This window comes from Homo sapiens, chromosome 18 (assembly GCF_000001405.40).
Source record: "Homo sapiens chromosome 18, GRCh38.p14 Primary Assembly".
Classification (NCBI taxonomy): domain Eukaryota; kingdom Metazoa; phylum Chordata; class Mammalia; order Primates; family Hominidae; genus Homo; species Homo sapiens.
The window spans coordinates 13,604,802-13,622,827 of NC_000018.10; the positions used below are offsets into that span (position 1 = coordinate 13,604,802).

General features: G+C 49.6%; 1 protein-coding gene and 1 non-coding gene across 52 annotated transcripts in view, besides 8 other annotated features; both read left to right on the forward strand.

Moving 5' to 3' along the window:
- The window catches only part of LDLRAD4 (low density lipoprotein receptor class A domain containing 4), a 435,073-nt gene that overhangs the window by 387,120 nt on the left and 29,927 nt on the right, over positions 1-18,026 (forward strand). For 48 of the 51 annotated variants that reach the window (NR_172142.1, XM_047437773.1, XM_047437776.1 and 45 more), the window contains one exon: positions 16,316-16,470. Coding sequence is in view for 50 of the 51 variants with exons in the window: in XM_047437773.1 (XP_047293729.1) it covers positions 16,316-16,470 (155 nt within the window). In the remaining variant the exon portion in view is untranslated. Of the gene's footprint in view, positions 1-6,662; positions 7,974-16,315; positions 16,471-18,026 lie in introns of those variants that run through there. The other 3 variants (NM_001003674.3, NM_001003675.3, NM_001276249.1) reach the window with 2 other exon arrangements.
- Positions 2,475-2,544: an enhancer, noted in NCBI's record as "active region_13124". NCBI's record gives its function as "activates an Ori minimal core promoter by ATAC-STARR-seq in GM12878 lymphoblastoid cells {active_cell/tissue: GM12878}" and the evidence as "EXISTENCE:reporter gene assay evidence [ECO:0000049][PMID:35858748]".
- MIR4526 (microRNA 4526) lies at positions 6,313-6,399 on the forward strand. The gene has a single exon (NR_039752.1). It is a non-coding gene; the product is annotated as a microRNA 4526 (primary transcript).
- Positions 7,823-8,052: an enhancer, noted in NCBI's record as "active region_13125". NCBI's record gives its function as "activates an Ori minimal core promoter by ATAC-STARR-seq in GM12878 lymphoblastoid cells {active_cell/tissue: GM12878}" and the evidence as "EXISTENCE:reporter gene assay evidence [ECO:0000049][PMID:35858748]".
- Positions 8,473-8,992: an enhancer, noted in NCBI's record as "H3K4me1 hESC enhancer chr18:13613273-13613792 (GRCh37/hg19 assembly coordinates)". NCBI's record gives its function as "activates a minimal SCP1, AML or CMV promoter by ChIP-STARR-seq in primed H9 embryonic stem cells {active_cell/tissue: H9 hESC(primed)}" and the evidence as "EXISTENCE:reporter gene assay evidence [ECO:0000049][PMID:30033119]".
- Positions 8,993-9,510: an enhancer, noted in NCBI's record as "H3K4me1 hESC enhancer chr18:13613793-13614310 (GRCh37/hg19 assembly coordinates)". NCBI's record gives its function as "activates a minimal SCP1, AML or CMV promoter by ChIP-STARR-seq in primed H9 embryonic stem cells {active_cell/tissue: H9 hESC(primed)}" and the evidence as "EXISTENCE:reporter gene assay evidence [ECO:0000049][PMID:30033119]".
- Positions 10,450-10,499: an enhancer, noted in NCBI's record as "active region_13126". NCBI's record gives its function as "activates an Ori minimal core promoter by ATAC-STARR-seq in GM12878 lymphoblastoid cells {active_cell/tissue: GM12878}" and the evidence as "EXISTENCE:reporter gene assay evidence [ECO:0000049][PMID:35858748]".
- Positions 10,530-10,599: an enhancer, noted in NCBI's record as "active region_13127". NCBI's record gives its function as "activates an Ori minimal core promoter by ATAC-STARR-seq in GM12878 lymphoblastoid cells {active_cell/tissue: GM12878}" and the evidence as "EXISTENCE:reporter gene assay evidence [ECO:0000049][PMID:35858748]".
- Positions 11,537-12,038: an enhancer, noted in NCBI's record as "H3K4me1 hESC enhancer chr18:13616337-13616838 (GRCh37/hg19 assembly coordinates)". NCBI's record gives its function as "activates a minimal SCP1, AML or CMV promoter by ChIP-STARR-seq in naive H9 embryonic stem cells {active_cell/tissue: H9 hESC(naive)}" and the evidence as "EXISTENCE:reporter gene assay evidence [ECO:0000049][PMID:30033119]".
- Positions 11,660-11,709: an enhancer, noted in NCBI's record as "active region_13128". NCBI's record gives its function as "activates an Ori minimal core promoter by ATAC-STARR-seq in GM12878 lymphoblastoid cells {active_cell/tissue: GM12878}" and the evidence as "EXISTENCE:reporter gene assay evidence [ECO:0000049][PMID:35858748]".

Here is an 18,026-nt window from a genome sequence, read left to right on the forward strand (position 1 = left end):
AACACCCTCCCACCCAGAAGATGTACTGGCAGTTTTCTGAAGGCACTCTCAGTATGCCTTGTTGATAAAGAAACATTTGGGGGCGTGCCAGCAGCCACCAGGCAGGCAGGACACATGTGGCAGGAGTAGGTGCTGCTTCCAGAATGCTCAAGGGCCAGGACCCTTCCTGGCATCTGGCTCTCTCAAGGAACAGGAAGGCCGAGGCGGGGACAGAGAGAAAGCGGGGCCAGGCTCATAGGGACGGAGGCTTGGCGTCTTCATCATTCTGTCTTTACAAGAAGTCTGCTCCTGGCACTTGAGTTTGTCCAGAGCGCAGAATTAGAGTGTTCTCTTAACATATGGTGTCCAGAAATCCTGAAAGACTTCTTGAGTTTTTAAGAAGGATGCCAAATATTCTAGAAATAGTGTCTCAACACTAGAGCCTCTGTTTTAATGAGACAGGGTCTCATTCTGTTGTGCAAGCTGGGGTGCATTGGCACAATCACAGCTCACTGCACTCTCGACCTCCTGGGCTCAAGTGATCCTCCTGCTTCAGCCTCCGGAGTAACTGGGATGACAGGCCTATGCCACCACACCTGGCTAATTTTTAAATTTTTTTTGAAGATGTGGTCTCACTGTGTTGCCCAGGCTTGTCTCAAACTCCTGGCCTCAAGCAGTCCTCCTATCTTGGCCTCCCAAAGTGTTGGGGTTACAGGTGTGAGCCACTGTGTCCAGCCCAGGGTCTCTGTTAACATAAGCCAGCTAGCTTTGCCATTCTTGGGGACCTTAACGACACTGTTAACCCCTGCTGGTTCTCCTGAAAGGTGCAGGTAGATCAATCATGACCCATCAGCACAGAGCGGAGGACAGCAGGAAGCACCTGCCATGCCCAGGAGGACAGTGTTACTGCTCTACCTACATGTGCACACAAACTCTGTTTGTGTTGAGGTTGAGTACTGTTCTTTAAAATCATTGTTGAATGACAATTAGCAAAAACAAGAGCCCTCACATGTCCTCGTGGTGGTATGCTGGCACCACGATTTCTCCAAGCCCCCGGCTTGCTCATTTCATCCAGGTGAGGAGTCTGGAGTAGAGCAGGGCTTCTGAAATGGTGACATGCACATCACTCTCCTGGGCATCTGGTTAACATGCAGGCTCCAGTTCCCCAGGTCTGGGCGGGGCTCAAGATCGCATTTCTCATAAGCTCCCAGGGGATGCTGCTGCTGGTGGTCTCTGGACCACACTCTGAGGAGCGAGGGTTGGATGCGTTATTTCATCCTCCTGACCACCCTGTGAAGTAAGTATTCTCAGCCTCATTTTATAGATGAGGAAACGCACCCAGCTCAACCTAACACAGGTGGCAGGGTTGGAACCCAACGTTGGTTCTAACTGGCCTCTATAAAAACTTTATACTGCCTCCCATTTTCTTCTGGGGCTTGGAAGGGTAGCTGCAATTTCAGGCACAAACCCACTTAGGAGGTAGCTTAGCCATTATGAAAATCTATACCACCATAAATGTGGACTCATAAGTAATTCCTTTTTTCCGCTTAGTAGCATAGATAATGTGTAACATAAACTCAAATCTGCTAATTCAGGGAGTCTTTTTGCATATTAGGAAGCTATTTTAAAGCTGTTTAATCTGAACTAATTTATTTAATACATTTGTAATCCGCATTATTGGCTTGCTAGCTCCATGGGGTCACACACTTTTATATTTGTTAACATTCCTACCAGACGACAGGGCTGGTGGGAGCACACGCAGAGCATTTGCGTTTCTACATAAAGCTGTCTCTGTGCTGCGTTTTTCTAAGTTCCAAGGATACGCTAGAAGATTATTCCATGTTATAGACTAATGTCCACAAATATCAAACTATTTCCATGTTTTGAGTCTGTGGGAACATAAAGTTTGTGTTCTTTTAAAATCCTCATTCATGACTTTAAGCATAACAAACTGACTTAAAATGTACTGTTTCTAAAGGCCAAATTCCAGGGATTAATTTTTATGTGGAAAATTTCATCTCAGAGCAAAATTTTATAGCATAGTCGTAAACCTCAAAGAATGGGAATTTGTAATGGGCAGAGCCATCGATTCTTAACAAGAGCTGCATTAACAGGCAGACGAGACACATAAAATGGCTCCAAGAGCCTCATGGCAACATGTGGAGATGTAGAATCTTTTACATGGATTTGCAAGTAAACACATCCTCTTAGTGCCCCAAAAAATCGGGTAATCAGGCTAAAAAAATCAAAGTAAGTCATCATCAGTCCACTGGCATCCTTTGGTTAGTTTCAGTGGTTGCTACATTTGTTGACTGTTGGCTAATTAATTCTGAGCTTGCTACCACTGAGCAAAACAATGAGTGGGTGGCCGGATGGGAGTGTCAGAGTCAGACTATCCCGGCTCCAACTCCTAGCTGGCCTCTCACCAGCAGTTTGCCCTTGGACAAAAGACTCACCCTCTCTGAGCCTCAGTTTCCCCATCTGTAAAGTGGTAACAAGAAAAATGTGCCTCACAGGGTTGGCATGAATATAAGAGATATATAGTGCTTGAAAGTGCTTTGCATATAGCAGTAAACCTTTATGAATGTTTACAAATGCTAACTTTATGCTGCAGAACCATTGAAAAGGTATTTCTAATTCTTTTTTTCTTATTATTTTATTTTACTTTAAGTTCTGGGATACATGTGCTGTATGTGCAGGTTTGTTACATAGGTATACATGTGTCATAGTGGTTTGCTGCACCTCTCAACCCATTATCTAGGTTTTAAGCCCTGTATGCATTAGTTATTTGTCCTATTGCCCTTCCTCCCCTTGCCTCCCCCAGCCCCCAACAGGCCCCACTGTGTGATGTTCCCCTCCTTGTGTCCATGTGTTCTCATTGTTCAACTCCCACTTATGAGTGAGAACATGTGGTGTTTGGTTTTCTGTTCCTGTGTTAGTTTGCTGAGGATGATGGTTTCCAGCTTCATCCATGTCTGTGCAAAGGACATGAACTCATTCTTTTTTATGGCTGCATAGTATTCCATGGTGTATATGTGCCACATTTTCTTTACCTGGTCTATCACTGATGGGTGTTCGGGTTCTTTCCAAGTCTTTGCTATTGTAAATAATGTTGCAATAAACATACGTGTGCATGTGTCTTTATAGTAGAATGATTTATAATCCTTTGGGTATATACCCAGTAATGGGACTGCTGGGCCAAATGGTATTTTTGGTTCTAGATCCTTGAGGAATTGCCACACTGTCTTCCACAGTGGTTGAACTAATTTACACTCCCACCAACAGTGTAAAAGAAAAAACAACCCCATCAAAAAGTGGATGAAGAATATGAACAGACACTTCTCAAAAGAAGACATTTATGCAGCCAACAAACATATGAAAAAAAAAAAAAGCTCATCATCACTCATCATTAGAGAAATGCAAATCAAAACCACAATGAGATACCATCTCACGCCAGTTAGAACGGCGATCACTATTTCTAATTCTTCAAGTGATCTTTATCTGCGAGAATTTCTGTTGTGAGTGAAGCACCCGCGGTGGGGCAGGCTGTGGAGGGGGAGGCAACTGGAGGGGGAGGCAGCGGGGCATACCGAGAAGCCCTGGGGGTGAGAGCTGGGGCTGGGACCTGGGCTGGGTGAGATGCTAACTGGGCTTAGAGATGACAGTTACAGATTCTGGGCGAGCAGAGCCTCCCTTTACCACTCAGAAATTTTTTTCTGAAGCTAATGAGCTCTGAGTAGCCGCTGAGCTACTAACTTACCATACTTGGAGTGGCTGGATGAGAGCTGAAATCTCAGCTGATCACCTCCAATCAAATCCCTGGCTTAGGCTGCCTCTTTTTGGCCATTCAGGACAGCAAGGTTCCAGCCACCTTAGCTTCTCCTATGCAGGTCTCAACTGGTAGCCGATCCTTAAAGCCCGTTTGGTTCCTTAAATAAGCAACTACCTGCAGATGGAACCTGAGACGAGCTCAGCCACACAGAAACGCTTATCTGTAGGACTTCACTGAAGGTCCAGTGCGTTTCCTCCTAAGGACTGTAAACGCTCAGGTAAATATTTGTCAGATGGATTAATGAACTGAAGACCTTTATAGAGGAAACCTTGAAGAGATATCGTTAGAATCTCAAGTCCTTGTTGCTACCAACAACTCTTGTGAAAGTCTTTGGTGTCCCTGCCTTGCTCCATTTTCAAGGCCCCTGCTGCACACACAGATGCCTCCTAAGCTCTGAGATGCGTTGGTGACTGCACAAAACTCATATTAGACGTGATAGCCATCAGAGTACTTACGTGAAAGATGCGATGTAAAGATGATGAGGGAGGAGAGAGTGCCGAATGCAAATGTTTTTACACTTTCATATTTGTGTGTTCCACAGACTTCCCTCTCCCATGCCCTTCTGCTATGTGTGCTGCCATTTTCTCTGAATGAAGGGAAAAGAAATATTGGCAGCTCTCAGCTAAAATTCCCAGTGATGGACGTGCTGTCATGCAGCCAGGGTGAGCTGTGTATCAGGGCATGAACCCTGAGTCACGACTTGACCTCGGAACTTCCTTTCTGAAGCACCATCTTCAAGTGGTGCTTAAAAGGAATAAAAACAAAACTCAAGAGCACTATCTAGTACATCCGCCCAGACAGCCCCTCAGAGGCGCTGGGAGAGGCCCTGTGCCTGTGTTTAAGCCACACATCCCAAGACAGACTCTACACCATGTCCCCAGACACCCACAGGAGCGCTCATTATGCGTGTGTGTGTGCGTGTGTGTGTGTGTGTGTGTGTGTGTGTTAGGTGTGGGCAATGTTTTCAAAGTAAACTTGTATTCATAAAGTCAAAAGTTTTGAAAGTGGTTTTTAAACAGGTTGAACTGTGAGAACATTAAACTGAGTGGGCAAGGAGCTTAATTAAGATCGGCTCCATGGCCGGGCGTGGTGGCTCACACCTGTAATCCCAGAACTCTGAGAAGCCGAAGCTGGTGGGTCGCTTGAAGTCAGGAGTTCCAGGACAGCCTGGCCAACATGGTGAAACCCCATCTCTACTAAAAATACAAAAATTACAAAAATTAGCCCGGCATGTTGGCGCACGCCTGTAATCCCAGCTACTCGGGAAGCTGAGGTGGGAGAATCACTTGAACCGGGGAGACAGAGGTTGCAGTAATCAGAAATTTCGCCACTGCACTCTAGCCTGGGCGACACAGCAAGACTGCATCCAAAAAAAGAAAAAAGAAAAGAAAAAGATTGGCTCCCATGGCCAAGATGCCCAGTGACAGGGAAGCTAGCCAAACACAGTAAGTGTGTTGAGACACTGGGGAATAGCTGATGGCCGTTAAATGAAAGAAAAAAATGTTGATTTTCTTTTTTTATATATGAAATATTCATTTTACACCATGTTAAATCCCAGAGCGGGCTATTTATAACCATTTCAAAATGCAAATATGTTCATTAGCAAAGGAGAGAAGAACTTTTCCAGTTCCATGAAGTTCACCAAAGCCCTAATTTTTTTTTTTTTTTTTTTTTTTTTTTTTTTTTTTTTTTTGAGACGGAGTCTCACTCTGTCGCCCAGGCTGGAGTGAAGTGGCCCTATCTTGGCTCATGGCAACTTCTACCTCCCAGTTGCAAGCAATTCTCCTGCCTCAGCCTCCTGAGTAGCTGGGATCACAGGCGTGTGCCACCACACCTGGCTAATTTTTGTATTTTTAGTAGAGACGGGTTTCGCCATGTTGACCAGGCTGGTCTTGAACTCCTGACCTCAGGTGATCCGCCCACCTCGGCCTCCGAAAGTGCTAGGATTACAGGCTTGAGCCACCGTGCCTGCCCCACAAAGCCCTAATTTTAAGAAACAGACAGGTACAGTGGCCTACAGCGCTCCTCACTAAGGCCCTGGCTTGAGGGCAAGCCTATCATGTGACTGAGCCTGACCAGGAAGTGCTGGCCCAGGTGGCAAGGAGCCTCGGGGCTCCAGGGACAAGGGGCGCTGGTAGCCAGGGAGGGGCGGCTTGAAGTGGCTGCAGCTTCTAATTCTTTCTGAAGCTGCCTCTTTCTGAGGGTGACTCCCTCTTCATTCACCCAGCAGGGTGACTCTGAGAAGTCAGGGAAAGTCTGGCACAGGGAGGGGAGTTCCATTTTTAATTCGGAAATTGCTCAGGAAGAATCATACCATCCGGATTTCCCTCGCGGCTGTATATTAATAAATGGTCACTTTCCTTGCTGAAATTCTCTGGTTTCCTTTTATCCACGTGAAGCTTCTGGAAACTCTTCTGGGTGGTTCTTCTGTTGCTTTTCTGCCCCTGCCCCCAAAAATGAGAACATGAGAAAGTGATGTCTTCTAGCCACCTGGAGGACCCTGCGGTGACATCAGGGCCCAGTCCCTGCTGTCATGCCCCAGGTGACGTGCTGGGCTGACAGCAGGGCTGGCCGCTAACGTCACTGTCCTGGCTTCTAACGCTGGTAGTAACCAACAGAGTTTAGTTTTGCTTTGACAACTCCTCCTACAGCCAAAACTATTGTTATGGCCCACATGTCATTCCTATTTACCCTAAATAAGGAAAAACAAAGGCTATTCTGGGCTCCCGGCAGTGCTTGTGGTGGGGGTTATTTGCAGCGTTACCATGGCAGGCTGCCCTTTCCACCACGGCCACCCCGTGATTTTCTCTGAAAACTGCGACAGACTCGCAGCCTGCCCTGAATTTTCTTCACACAGCCTGGGGGCATCCGAATGCACGGGAGATGTTTTACACTCAGATGAAACAAACTGTTTAGACCTCGGGGAAAAGAGACTGTGCTTGAACAAAATGAACCAGGAGAAAGCGCCCTCCTGAGACATGTCTCTGCTTTCATGTTTGAATTGCCTGGGATTCTGTTCTCTAATTTCTGATCCTTATAAACTAAAACTGCCTAGGAACATTGAGCATCCTGACTTTGAAGGAGTCTCTGTGGTGTTTTTGTGCTACCATACATGGGGAATAATGATGTGAGGCAGAGGGAGAGGGAATGAATGGGAGAGCCAAGAGGGAAGAGCGAGCCGGGGGGAAAGGAGCGCGCAGTGTTTCCTGCTGCGGTTAGGACCTCACGCCTTGCCAGTACAGAGCTCGGTGGCAAGAGCCGCTGGGAGCTGCTCCCATCAGTTAGAGGATGTGGAGAGGGAGCACCAGAAGAGGACAGCCCGCAGCCTGGCTCGCAGCCTGAGGGACGCTGTGGGTGCTCCCAGCCGGGCGAGCACGCTCTGGGAGCGGATCTGCAGGGGAGAAGCACGCGAGCCTAACGTGAGCGTCCCGCCTGTCGCGTGTCCTGCCTTGGTAAGCGCCCTCTCCGGTCCTTCCACACTGAAAGCTTCCAGCAGAGATCAAGGGAAGGAGTATTGTGTGAGACTTGCAGATTTCCTCCTTTCTGTCTGGACTGGTTTGATATTTGCCTGTTGAAAAGATTACTGAACGCAGTGTGACAAGATGAGCCGTCTAGCTGCGTTCTGCTTGCCTGTGTGTGTGACACGTCCAGGTGTGAGGCCAAACCTGAGAAGTGCAGACTGCTCACTGATAGACGTTGCTGTAAACAGTAGTGCCCTGGGTGTACAGCTGGTCTCAGGATCGGAGACCCCGGACTTATTCTCTGCTCGGTGACACGGCCGGCTTCCTGCCGCAGAGCTCCTGGTTTCTGTTGATGGCAGTTGATAATTGGTAGCCACAGTCTGCGGTCGGAGCCACAGCATTTGAGTCTAGCACCTGGGGTGGGCCCTGCTGATACAGTAGAGAGAGAGTGAACGAGGCAGACAGAAACACACCCCCCCCCCCTCCACGCTCACACACTCTCCCACACCCCATGCCAGCTATAACTGCAGCTCTGAGCTGCCTGGAGAGGAGATTGCCGGAAGCTGAAGGGATGCTTTGAACGTGGGGGGGCTGCGTCACAGTTGGACTCCCACTTGCAGAGGACCTGATTATGTCCAGTGACCACCTGAACAACAGCACACTGAAGGAGGCTCAGTTCAAAGACCTGTTCTTAAAAAAAGGTACATTTCCCAAGAACTGCTATGGATGATGCATGCTCTTTCGGGTTTGCTGTGGTTCTTCTTGGAGTTTGGTCTGAGGACAGAGCTGAGAAGAGGAGAAGCTCTTTCTCAAGAAGTTTCTTTCTACCTAAGAGGGGTCTGTCAACTCAGAACATTTCCGGGTGGGACTCCCTTTAGGAAGATGCATGTCAGGCTTTTTCATCTTCTTTCAAGCCTGGAATTAGTTTGTTCCTGTTGGAGGTGTTATGCATGAGTACACAGTTTGTTGCTTTGGAGTTTTGTTTTTTTCAAATGTCTGTATATAAGGCTGAGACCTCCCCTGGAAATTCTGCTACTTGTTAATAATTCCTTTTTCTTCACCCTCATGAGCTGAAAACTGCATTTTAAAGAAAAGGTATTTCTCAGGATGTGGCTGGTTCATTGAACACTTTCTTAGGTCATCCATGTAGTGACAGGAGCTATTAGGAAGGAGAACTGTGACTCTGAGAGATAGAGAGCCAAAGAAAGTGAGAGACAGACAGACTGGCTGTGGGATGAGAGCCTCAGAAGCCACCACTCTCCCCTGTGGAAATGAAGGTTCCATTCCATGTGCAGCTGTGTTTTTTTTCTGATGCACTTTCCTAAATTAATAATGTGGAGGTGGAGGTGAGGGTGGATTTTAAATGAATCCTATAGGGGGAATTATGGCTTATGTATGTATTTTTTTCCATTTATAGCATGGCAGAGGGATAGACTTTTAAAAGGTTTATAATTGCTCTTACTCCTCTGCTGATTTTTTAGAAAATCCTGTCAGTCATCTTTGATCAGAACATATTTAGGTAAATTTCTTTCTGAAGAGATCATGAAACTCTAGATTCTAAAATGCGTGGTGAGAAGTAATTGTAGTGGATGAAGGCTTGGGCTTTCATAAAGTGAGGAGATGCCACTCCAGCTGGACGGGCTCGTGGAGTCTGCATTCGAGGGATTCCCTAGTCCGTCCAGTCATCACGGGCTGCTGCCCGCCTGCCCGTGCCGTCCAAGGCACCTGGCCTTGGGCCGGTATCAGGTAGCCGCGCCTGGGTCACACCTGCCCTCCACGTTCATCTCTCCACCTACAGATCATAGGGACCGTTTCCTCATTTTATTGTCATGCAAATGTTGTACATAAATACATGGCTATAAACAGGCAGCTCAGAGTAACCAGGAGGCTCTTTTCTCAGTGACAGATCACACCCTCTTAGAGTAGTAATTTTTGAATAATTGTTGCAAAATATGAAAACCTTTAGCAAAACTCCAGCACCACTGAAGTCATCAGGAAGTGTTTGGGAGAATACGTGTCTGTGCTGGATGCTGTTGAAGCAGGTCAGGCCGTTGGGGTCCCTTCGTTCTTAGGGCTTCTCCACCAGCTTCTAAATGGGGAATGCCAACTTTGTGCCAGGCACACACTACCTGCTGAGACACTGTGGATGAACAAGGCGTTGACCCAGGGCTCACTCTGTAGAGGAAGAAGACCAGAGAATGGATACCACCAAGACAGTGATAAGTGCTGCAACAGGGTTCAGAGCTGCACAGGAAGTCCCCAAAGGTAGTGAACCCATCATCGGGGCTTAGGAAAGAGCTTTTAAAGGAAGATAAAGCCAGCAGGTGACGCCAAAAACTGGGTATTTCTGTAGGGTAGCTTTTTTCCCTTTCGTTCTACTTGTTGTACTATACAGTAGAGTAGCCAACCCACCTCCAAGGAAAATAAAATTCAAAATATATAATGTAATCAGTATGATGATAGCTCTTATTGTTTTGCTTCTGTACTTCAAGCTGTGAAGTCATTCTTGTAACACAGGCTGAATTTTCCCCCTCAACCATGGTGTTTAATGAGTGTGAATCTTCATTCAACCATTAAAATCTCCAAGAGTATTTTTATACTAACAGTTCACAAACTTGAGGCAATTATAGTCTAAGTAGATTCCAACTCCTGCCCCCACCCGTCTTCCTGCCACCACCGCCGCCCGGTCTCTGGAGGATCTTGGAAAGAATTTACCAGCCTTTAGGAACATTCAGCACTTTAAAAGTGTCACAGAGCCATAAATAAAGAGTAAGACACCCCTAAGACTGTCATCTCATCACCACACCCGTCTCTGCTGAGGAGGACAGAGACAGGAAGGAAATGCGACAAGTTCACTGTGCAGTAGCCAAGCAGGCCCAGCCAACATGTGGGAGGGTGGGTGTCTGTCCCAGCGGTGGGGCAGGAGGCGTGCAGGGGAAGGGGCTGCCTGGAGGTAAGGCTCTGCGGTCAGCCAGCCCTGGGTTTGGTGCTCCAGGAAAGGCCAGCACGTAGGGGAGTGAGGTGGGGTGCTGCTGTTGGTAGGGTAGGAAGTGACCTCGCAGGGTGGGGCCAGGGCTTCGTGGCCAGTGGGCGGCCATTTCTGTGACATTGCAATGTTCTGCGTGGATCGTTTTCTGGATTCCTGCCAAGGTGTTTACTTGGCCTGGGGAAAGAGAGGAACGCATGAGGGGCCCAGACCTTGCCCCCTGACCCATGATAGGGTCTTTGAGGGCATACATAACACATCTGGAGCTTAAAAAGAATTAAACTGTAGAAATAAGACTTCAGTGAAGGATAATATATTAGTGGAGGAAAGACCAAATGGAAGATGGTGTTAACCATCCCACAAATAGAAATGAGTGTTATATTAGGAGCCTAAGGTGGGACAACCACACTTCCCCAGAGCTCTTTAAAAATAGCGCAGACACTCATGCCTCTAGTATGATTCAGTTCAGCTCCTCATTGAACCAGGGAAGAGACCGACAGACTTCACACCACTTCTTCTGTTCCTGTAATTCTCCACTGTGCAGCTTGGGATTTCCTGGAGATGTTTCCATAAAAATAGAGAGATGCCATCATCACTGTCGTCACTGTCACTGCTGTACAATAATAAAAGAAGGTGCTAGGATGCCTTCCTGTAAGTTTTAGACTAGATGTATTAAAAAGTATCCGGTATTTCCATTGCAGTGACTCATCTGTTACAGCATCATGAACTACAGCGCCGTAGAAGGGGGATGTGAACGTTTGACTTTGGCCTCAACTTCTTTCCTTGCGTGCCCTGCTTTCTAGCACTCTTCTGTGGACATCTGTTACTGTTGAACAAGGAAACTCAACCAGTGGTCTGTGTTCAGAATCCGTGTTAGGCGTGTAGCATCTTGGAAGCCCCAAAGCATCCTATTAATTTTCTAAGAATGCTACTATTCCTGCGGGTTTTATTTTTCTAAACTTTCTGTTTTAACAGTTCTTCCAGAATTCATTTTCTTCTTAGCCTCCCCTTTCCAGCCCACTCCTCCCCAACCCCTAAAAACGAAACCCAAACCCCAGGTGTCTTTCCTTTCTGTGGATGCTGGGCTCCACGCACCACAGCCACCTCCCTGCCCTGCCACGTGAAAACAGGCTGTGGGTGTTTAGTGGAATTCTCCTGTTTAAAATGACTGAGAGGGTGTGGGAGGACAGGTGGGGGGGGGGGGGTTGCCACACACCCCCTCGTGAGCTTGAAAGGGGGTCATGGAGGGAGAGGGCATCTCAATGCAGGGCTCAGGGTCTGGGAATCCTCACACACGTTTCCAAGAACCTGTTGACTGCAGTTTTCACTTTGAGGATCTCCTGGGCCCTGCCTGGGGAGGCTTTGTGGCCCTGAAGAGAGTACAATGCTCATCTTTTCTGTTGCTAGTGTTCTGGCTCCTGTGACTTAAAGACGAGAAGGAGGTCTGTTTCCACTGATGGGTTTTGCCCAGAGTCCCCAGAGCAAGGCTCTGCCGCGTGTGTGGGCCCCGCACCAGACCCTGACGCCCTCAGGGGAGGGCTTCGGGAGCACCCACCGGCCACCGTCACCTGCAGCCAGGGACCAAGCTGCTGCAGTGAGATGACCAGGCTGTGAGGATGGTGGTCTCTGGGACCCAGGTATCCCTGGGTCTTTGTTGCCTGCAGGAAGAGCTGCCTCCTGTGCCCAGGGCTGAGTGCCTTCATGGCTCAGGCCTCATCAGGCTGCCGCCACCCCAGGGCACCCCACGGGGCCACTCGATTCGGTTTGCAGGCTCCTGAGGACAGTGTTCCTGCTCCCACAGCCTCTGAGCATGCCCATGAACTTGACCTGCCCCAGGCACCATGCCACTAGGGTGCCCGTGAACCCCCAGGGCCGACGCTCATCCATGTGCTGTAGATGCACCTGCCACGGCTGGGCATGACTCATATTTGGAGCCTCAGGGCAACAGCATGGTGCAGGTGTCCCAGCAGGGCAGGGCGGTACCTGTGTGTGGCAGGTTTATAAGAAAGCAGTCCCCTTAAAAAGAAAGATGGTGGGGCCTTTACTTTTTTTTTTTTTTTAAGAGACAGGGTCTCGCTATATTGCCCAGGCTGATCTTGAACTCCTGGTCTTAAACAATTCCCCCGTCTTGGTCTCCCAAAGTGCTGAGATTCCAGGCACGCCTGGCCTGGAGTTTAGTTTTACAGAGAGTAATTCCATGCACTGTTTCATACAACTGAGATCTTTCTTATCCTTGCCTGAATTTTAAAATCAGATATATTAGCTCAGAAGATGCACACCTTTCAGTCAATATCACATGTTCCATGTGCTGTGTCAGACCAAAAGAGGAATAAAATCCAGAGCAAATAAAGATCTAACATAAAATTCAAACTCCAAAAATCTTAGGAAAAAAATATGTTTAGAATATTAAAGAGGACCTTCCCAATCAAACAGGATGTTTAGAGGCCATAAAGGAAAAAGAGAGTATTTGATGGCATAAAAGTTTATAGCATCTATAGAGAAACTCATGGTGAAGTTTCAAGAAATGACTGGCTAGGGGAAATAGTTGCAACATGTAACAGACAAAGATGTGTAACCATAATATGTAAAGATTTCATATAAATACATAAGAAATAAATGAGAAAACTATAAATACACCAATATGATTATGAAAAAGAGAAACACAAATTACCATAACCATAGGGAAAGATCTGAAATTACCAGTAATTGGAGAAATACAAATTAAAATGAGATACATATTTTTGCCATCAGATTGTCACCAGTTAAAAGGGCGAGTCTCCAGGGTGAATGAGGGCATGGGGAACATGCCTTCTTCCTGGGACAGCCTAAACGAATGCAGCCTTTACAAAAGGCAGGTTCTCAGTAGCCATGAGGATGAAAAGTGATTATGCCCTGGGTCCAGAAATGTCACTTTTAGGAGTCTTTCCTACAAGTATACTGACAAACGTGTGCCAGCCACACACTTGCACATATACACATGCAATTTTGTGGTCATAAGAGAAAAAAGAAAAAAAGCAAGCCACCTGAACAGCCACCAGCTGGAGAAGGCAAATGCCAGTATGTTTGTACTCTGTAACAGACAGGCCAGTGCACGTGTGTTCTTGTTTAAAGAGGTCTGTGATGTATTAAGTGAAAAGACACAAACAAGATATTTGCACATCGATTCCAATAACTGAAAAAAGGAAAGGCTTTATTTTGTAGCAAACACACACACATGCAACGGAGGCCTGGGCTTTCCCCCGGGACGGAGTGGGGCTTGGTGGAGTCAGGGGCGCTGTGGGTTGGGATGGGAGACTTTACACTGCACTGTTTCCTTCTATATGATTTAAATTTTCAAGAAGTTTTCATTATTTTTATAATAAAAATCCTTTTCAAATGAAACACAAATATGTAAAAAATGCCCAGAGACTTGTGAAAACATAATTTGATTTGCTTTGCTGCAAATGCTTGTCTGCATAGCTTTCCATAGTCAAGAACAGATGACCTAGAAAGGTGTCCTCCAAGGGAAGAGTTGATTCATTGCAGGACTTTGTGCTGATCCTTCCCTGTCACCATGATTTTCCTCTATATCCATGTCCATAAAGCAGTGAAGTTCTCTTGTAAAGAAAACATTTGGAAATCCTAGGGCATGCTTTAATTTGTGAATACTCCGCTATTTAACCACAAAATAAAAACAAGCATTGGTAAAAGAAGGCATTATTCAGGTCACAATAGAAATGTGACCTTATTTCTGCTCACAGGCCATGGGAAGTATGACATGCTTGTTTACCTAGGAACACAGTCTTCGACTTCGGGGTTCAGCCCTCACCACTGTGTTCACTGCCTTTGTCCTGAGCGGAGTCTCTCTGCTTCCTTTCATGCTTATCCCTGGGCTGGTGGCTGACCCCTGCACAGACCCTCAGGGCTGCTGGAGGCGCACTCGGGCACTCTGCAGCCAGTGCAGCCTTATCCTGTTGGCAGTGGCTGTCCTCACAGAGAACACACCCATGCAGCTGGGCAGAGCCCACCGGGGCCACACATCCCAGCCCCTTCTCTCAGCCTGGGGGTGCTGAGTCGCTCATCAATTCACCTTGTACCAGTTAAGCCACTTAGCTGCCTCCCGTGTCAAGAGGGGCAAAGTAGGGGCTCCGGACTCAGCCTGGGAGACGTCACATGGTGTGTGGGGGTAGGGTCCTGAGAAACACAGGGTCAAGGCCAGAGTGTCCCAGACACAGGAAGGTTATGTGCAGGGGCAGAGTCGAAGACTGTGTTCCTAGGTAAACAAGCGTGTCATACTTCCCATGGCCTGTGAGCAGAAATAAGGCCACTTTTCTATTGGAACCCAATTGCAAAGGGCCCAAGCCCCTGCTCGAAGACTCAGAGCAATTTCAGTCTTTTCCAGGAAGCCCCCAACATGAAAATTGTTGATAAGCCCTGGGGAGCGTTTTTGTGTGTGTGTGGGTGGGGGGGTGGGGCCGGGGGGGGGCGGGGGTGGCACATATAAGTGTGGCAGCTCCAATGGACATTTCCTCCCCATAGGAAGTAGACACTCAAACCCCAAGGCTGGGCCGGGCACCAGGCCCCTAGAGTCCCTGCCACTTAGCGGACAGGCCACGGGGAACCCAAGAGCAACAGCACCCCCTTGGCTGGGGCGGGGCCGGCAGGCCTCACTGACTGCCAGCTTCGGGAGCTGCTCAGGGCATGGCCTCTGAGCCTCTGAGCATGGCTTTGTCCGTGTCCACAGGGAACAGTGATGTTCCCACCAGCCTGGCCTCTCCCTGCCTGCGGGGGCAGGGGGCCCTTGGCAGGTCCACCTGCTCTCTGCACAGCTCAGCCACCAGCCTCCTACACAGTCTGCTCTTCATTCTCAAGACACCAGCGCCTCTCCTATAGGCCCCAGTGTCCCACTGCCCTCCACTCCCACCCTCAGTCCCTAGGGTGTGGGGGTCTGAGGGTGGAAGTGGAGGGCCGTGCTGAAGGGTAGGACATGTGGGGATCCAGAGAACCCCTCGTCCAGCCTCACCCTCGGTTCCCAGGGTGTGGGCAGCAGACGCACACAGTCGTAGCCACTGGGGAGGCACCACCTGATCTCTGCCTGCATCGCCCCACGTATGAGCGGATACACTTGACAGATATGCCTCCCCACTGGCCGGGGCCTGAGCCCTGCTGCGGCACATGTACGTGCATGCATGTGTGTGCATGTGTGCTGTGAGCCCAGGGCAGCACAGTTGATGGCTTCTCTCTTCTTACTCCTGCCTCCCCCAGATTCCTGCACTGTCTTCCTCTTAGCATCCCCGAGCCCCTTGCTCTGAATTTACATCACTGCACGGTCAGTCACTTCCTTCCAGCACGGGGGACAAGGAGTGAAGCAGGCAGCAGAGCCATGGGCTGGAAGAGGGGAGCAGAAAGTGGCTCCAGGCCGCCCGTGAGCCCTCGACCTGCTTCCTCTCCCAAAACGGGGGTCTGGCTCACCTGCTTCCAGCTGCCGGCCCAATGTGCTGTGACTGGAAGTCACTCTGTGTTGCTGGACTCACATGTGAAGTGTGTGTCAATGGCATTTAAGGAATCTTTGGGGTGGTGGTGTCAGAAACCCAGGGGAGACCTGACCACTCCTAAAGTGCTGTGCCTGAAGGCCTGGAAACAATGTGGATGTTTCCTAACTCACCTGCAGAGCCACAGCCTTGGAGGCAAGGGGCTGAAGTTGATTTTTCCTTTCAAGTATGGGTCCCTAGGGGAATTGCTTTGAGAAACTCCACTCAACCATAAAGACGGGTTTAACTTTTCTAGAGCGGTGACATTGGAGAAATAGCTTCAGTTTGTGGAGACGTTCTCAGCTCCCTGTGGTGGGGGATGGCAGAGGCTTCCCGCTCCCCGCAGCTGGTTTGCACAGCCTCCCGACTGTGCCGTGGTGTCTCCTTCCCTAAAGTGGGACAGTCGTTTCTGTGTCCTGCTGGCCTCTGAGGAACAGACGTGTGTGAGAGGCCTTCAGGGCCTGATGGCTGGGGTGGTGACAGTGCCTGGAGAATGGGTGGGGACTGGAGGGGCCAGGTGGCTAACCACTCTCCTCTTCCATGGCAGCGGAGCTGGAGTTCGCCCAAATCATCATCATCGTCGTGGTGGTCACGGTGATGGTGGTGGTCATCGTCTGCCTGCTGAACCACTACAAAGTCTCCACGCGGTCCTTCATCAACCGCCCGAACCAGAGCCGGAGGCGGGAGGACGGGCTGCCGCAGGTGAGTACCCTGGCCGCCCCGGCTCCAGAGTCAGGCAGCTGCAAGAGGCTTAGGAGCCCATCAGGGTTCAGAGGCCGGGAGTGCTTTCAGTTGACATGTAACAAACGGGGCGAAGCGCACCTCGTAAGTGTTCCACTTAGTGAGTCCCCACAAACTGAACACACCAGTGTGACCAGCACCCAGTGAACATACAGACACAGCAGTCCCCCCAGAAGCCTGCGTGACCCCTCCCAGGTCTCCCCTGGATCTTTGCTGCCCGACGTGGCTTTGCCAGCTTCTGAGCTGTGCACGAACGGGACCGGCCCTGGGTGGTCCCTCGTGCCTGGCTCCTCTGGCTTGGCAGTGCACTTGTGAGATTCATTGTGTTGTAAAATCCTGTCCTGAGCTGGGTCCTGGAGGTGCTGCGGGGACAAATCACGCGCTCATCGTCACTAAACGTGCCGGCAGCACATGGGTGCCATGAGCTGGAGGACGCCTGGAGCTTAAGGCCTCGGGAGCTTCCTGGGGATCGGCGGTGGGGTTGTTGGCGGTGGGCTTGTCAGCGGTGGGCTTGTCGGCGGTAGGGTTGTCGGCGGTGGGTTGTGGAGGGTGGGGTTGTGGAGGGTGGGGTTGTCGGCGGTGGACCCTCAAGCCAAACTGCACTATGATCAAACTTGAGAGACCAGGGGCTGCTGTCCCAAGCCTGTTTTACAGGCTGTGGTTTTGATGGCTTCCAGCCAGAGGGTTAGGAGCGGTGAGTTCAGCGAGCGTATAAATCCTTGGCTTCCGTGATGGGCAGCGAGGCCGAGTCTCCACAGTGTGGAGCCCTGCGGTATGCTGAGCACAGGAGCCGGTCCTTACGGAGCATCCCTCTTCAGGAACAGGGCTGTGCAGTTCCGGCTCCCACCCTGACTTACAGAGCCTGTCCAGGGTATGGGGTGCAGCTGTCCAGGTGGGTTTCCTGGGGTGGCCGCTGGCCCTGGGACCCCTCTCAGGAGTGCAGGCTCACACTTCACTAGGATCATTGGTGCAGCCATCCATATGGGCAGAGCTGAGGTTTGCTGTCTGCTCTGCAGCTCCTGCAGGTAGTGGGGAGAAGGAAGGGGTGGGTGCTACCGAGTGCTATCTTCAGACCATGGTGAGGGCTAGACGGGGCAGCCTCGGGGAGGAGATGGGATGCCAGGGGAAGACGTGCACCCTTGACAGCCGTTTCCTCCTCTTGCCCCCTGCATCCTCTCTTGCCCCTTCTGTCCTCTCTCTGGATGCCCAGTTCAGTCCACAAGCCCCTCTGGCCCTGTTGTGTTACTTTCCTCGAGCCTCCACAGCATCCTGGGGTCCTTTGTCTGGTGTCCACAGAGCTGCGCCATCCAGACGCACTGAACACTTTGGCATCCTGATGCCTGTAGATTGTTGGACAGAGGGAGGACTAATTCTTCTGAAGTTCTAAACACACAGTGTATGGGATTCACCTGTGTTTTGAGAGAGGACAGGGAGAAAATCTCATCACAGCAGCAGTTTCAGAACCGCAGAAGGCTCAGACATCGCTGCTTTGCCTTAATGTATTACGGGCTGTGAAC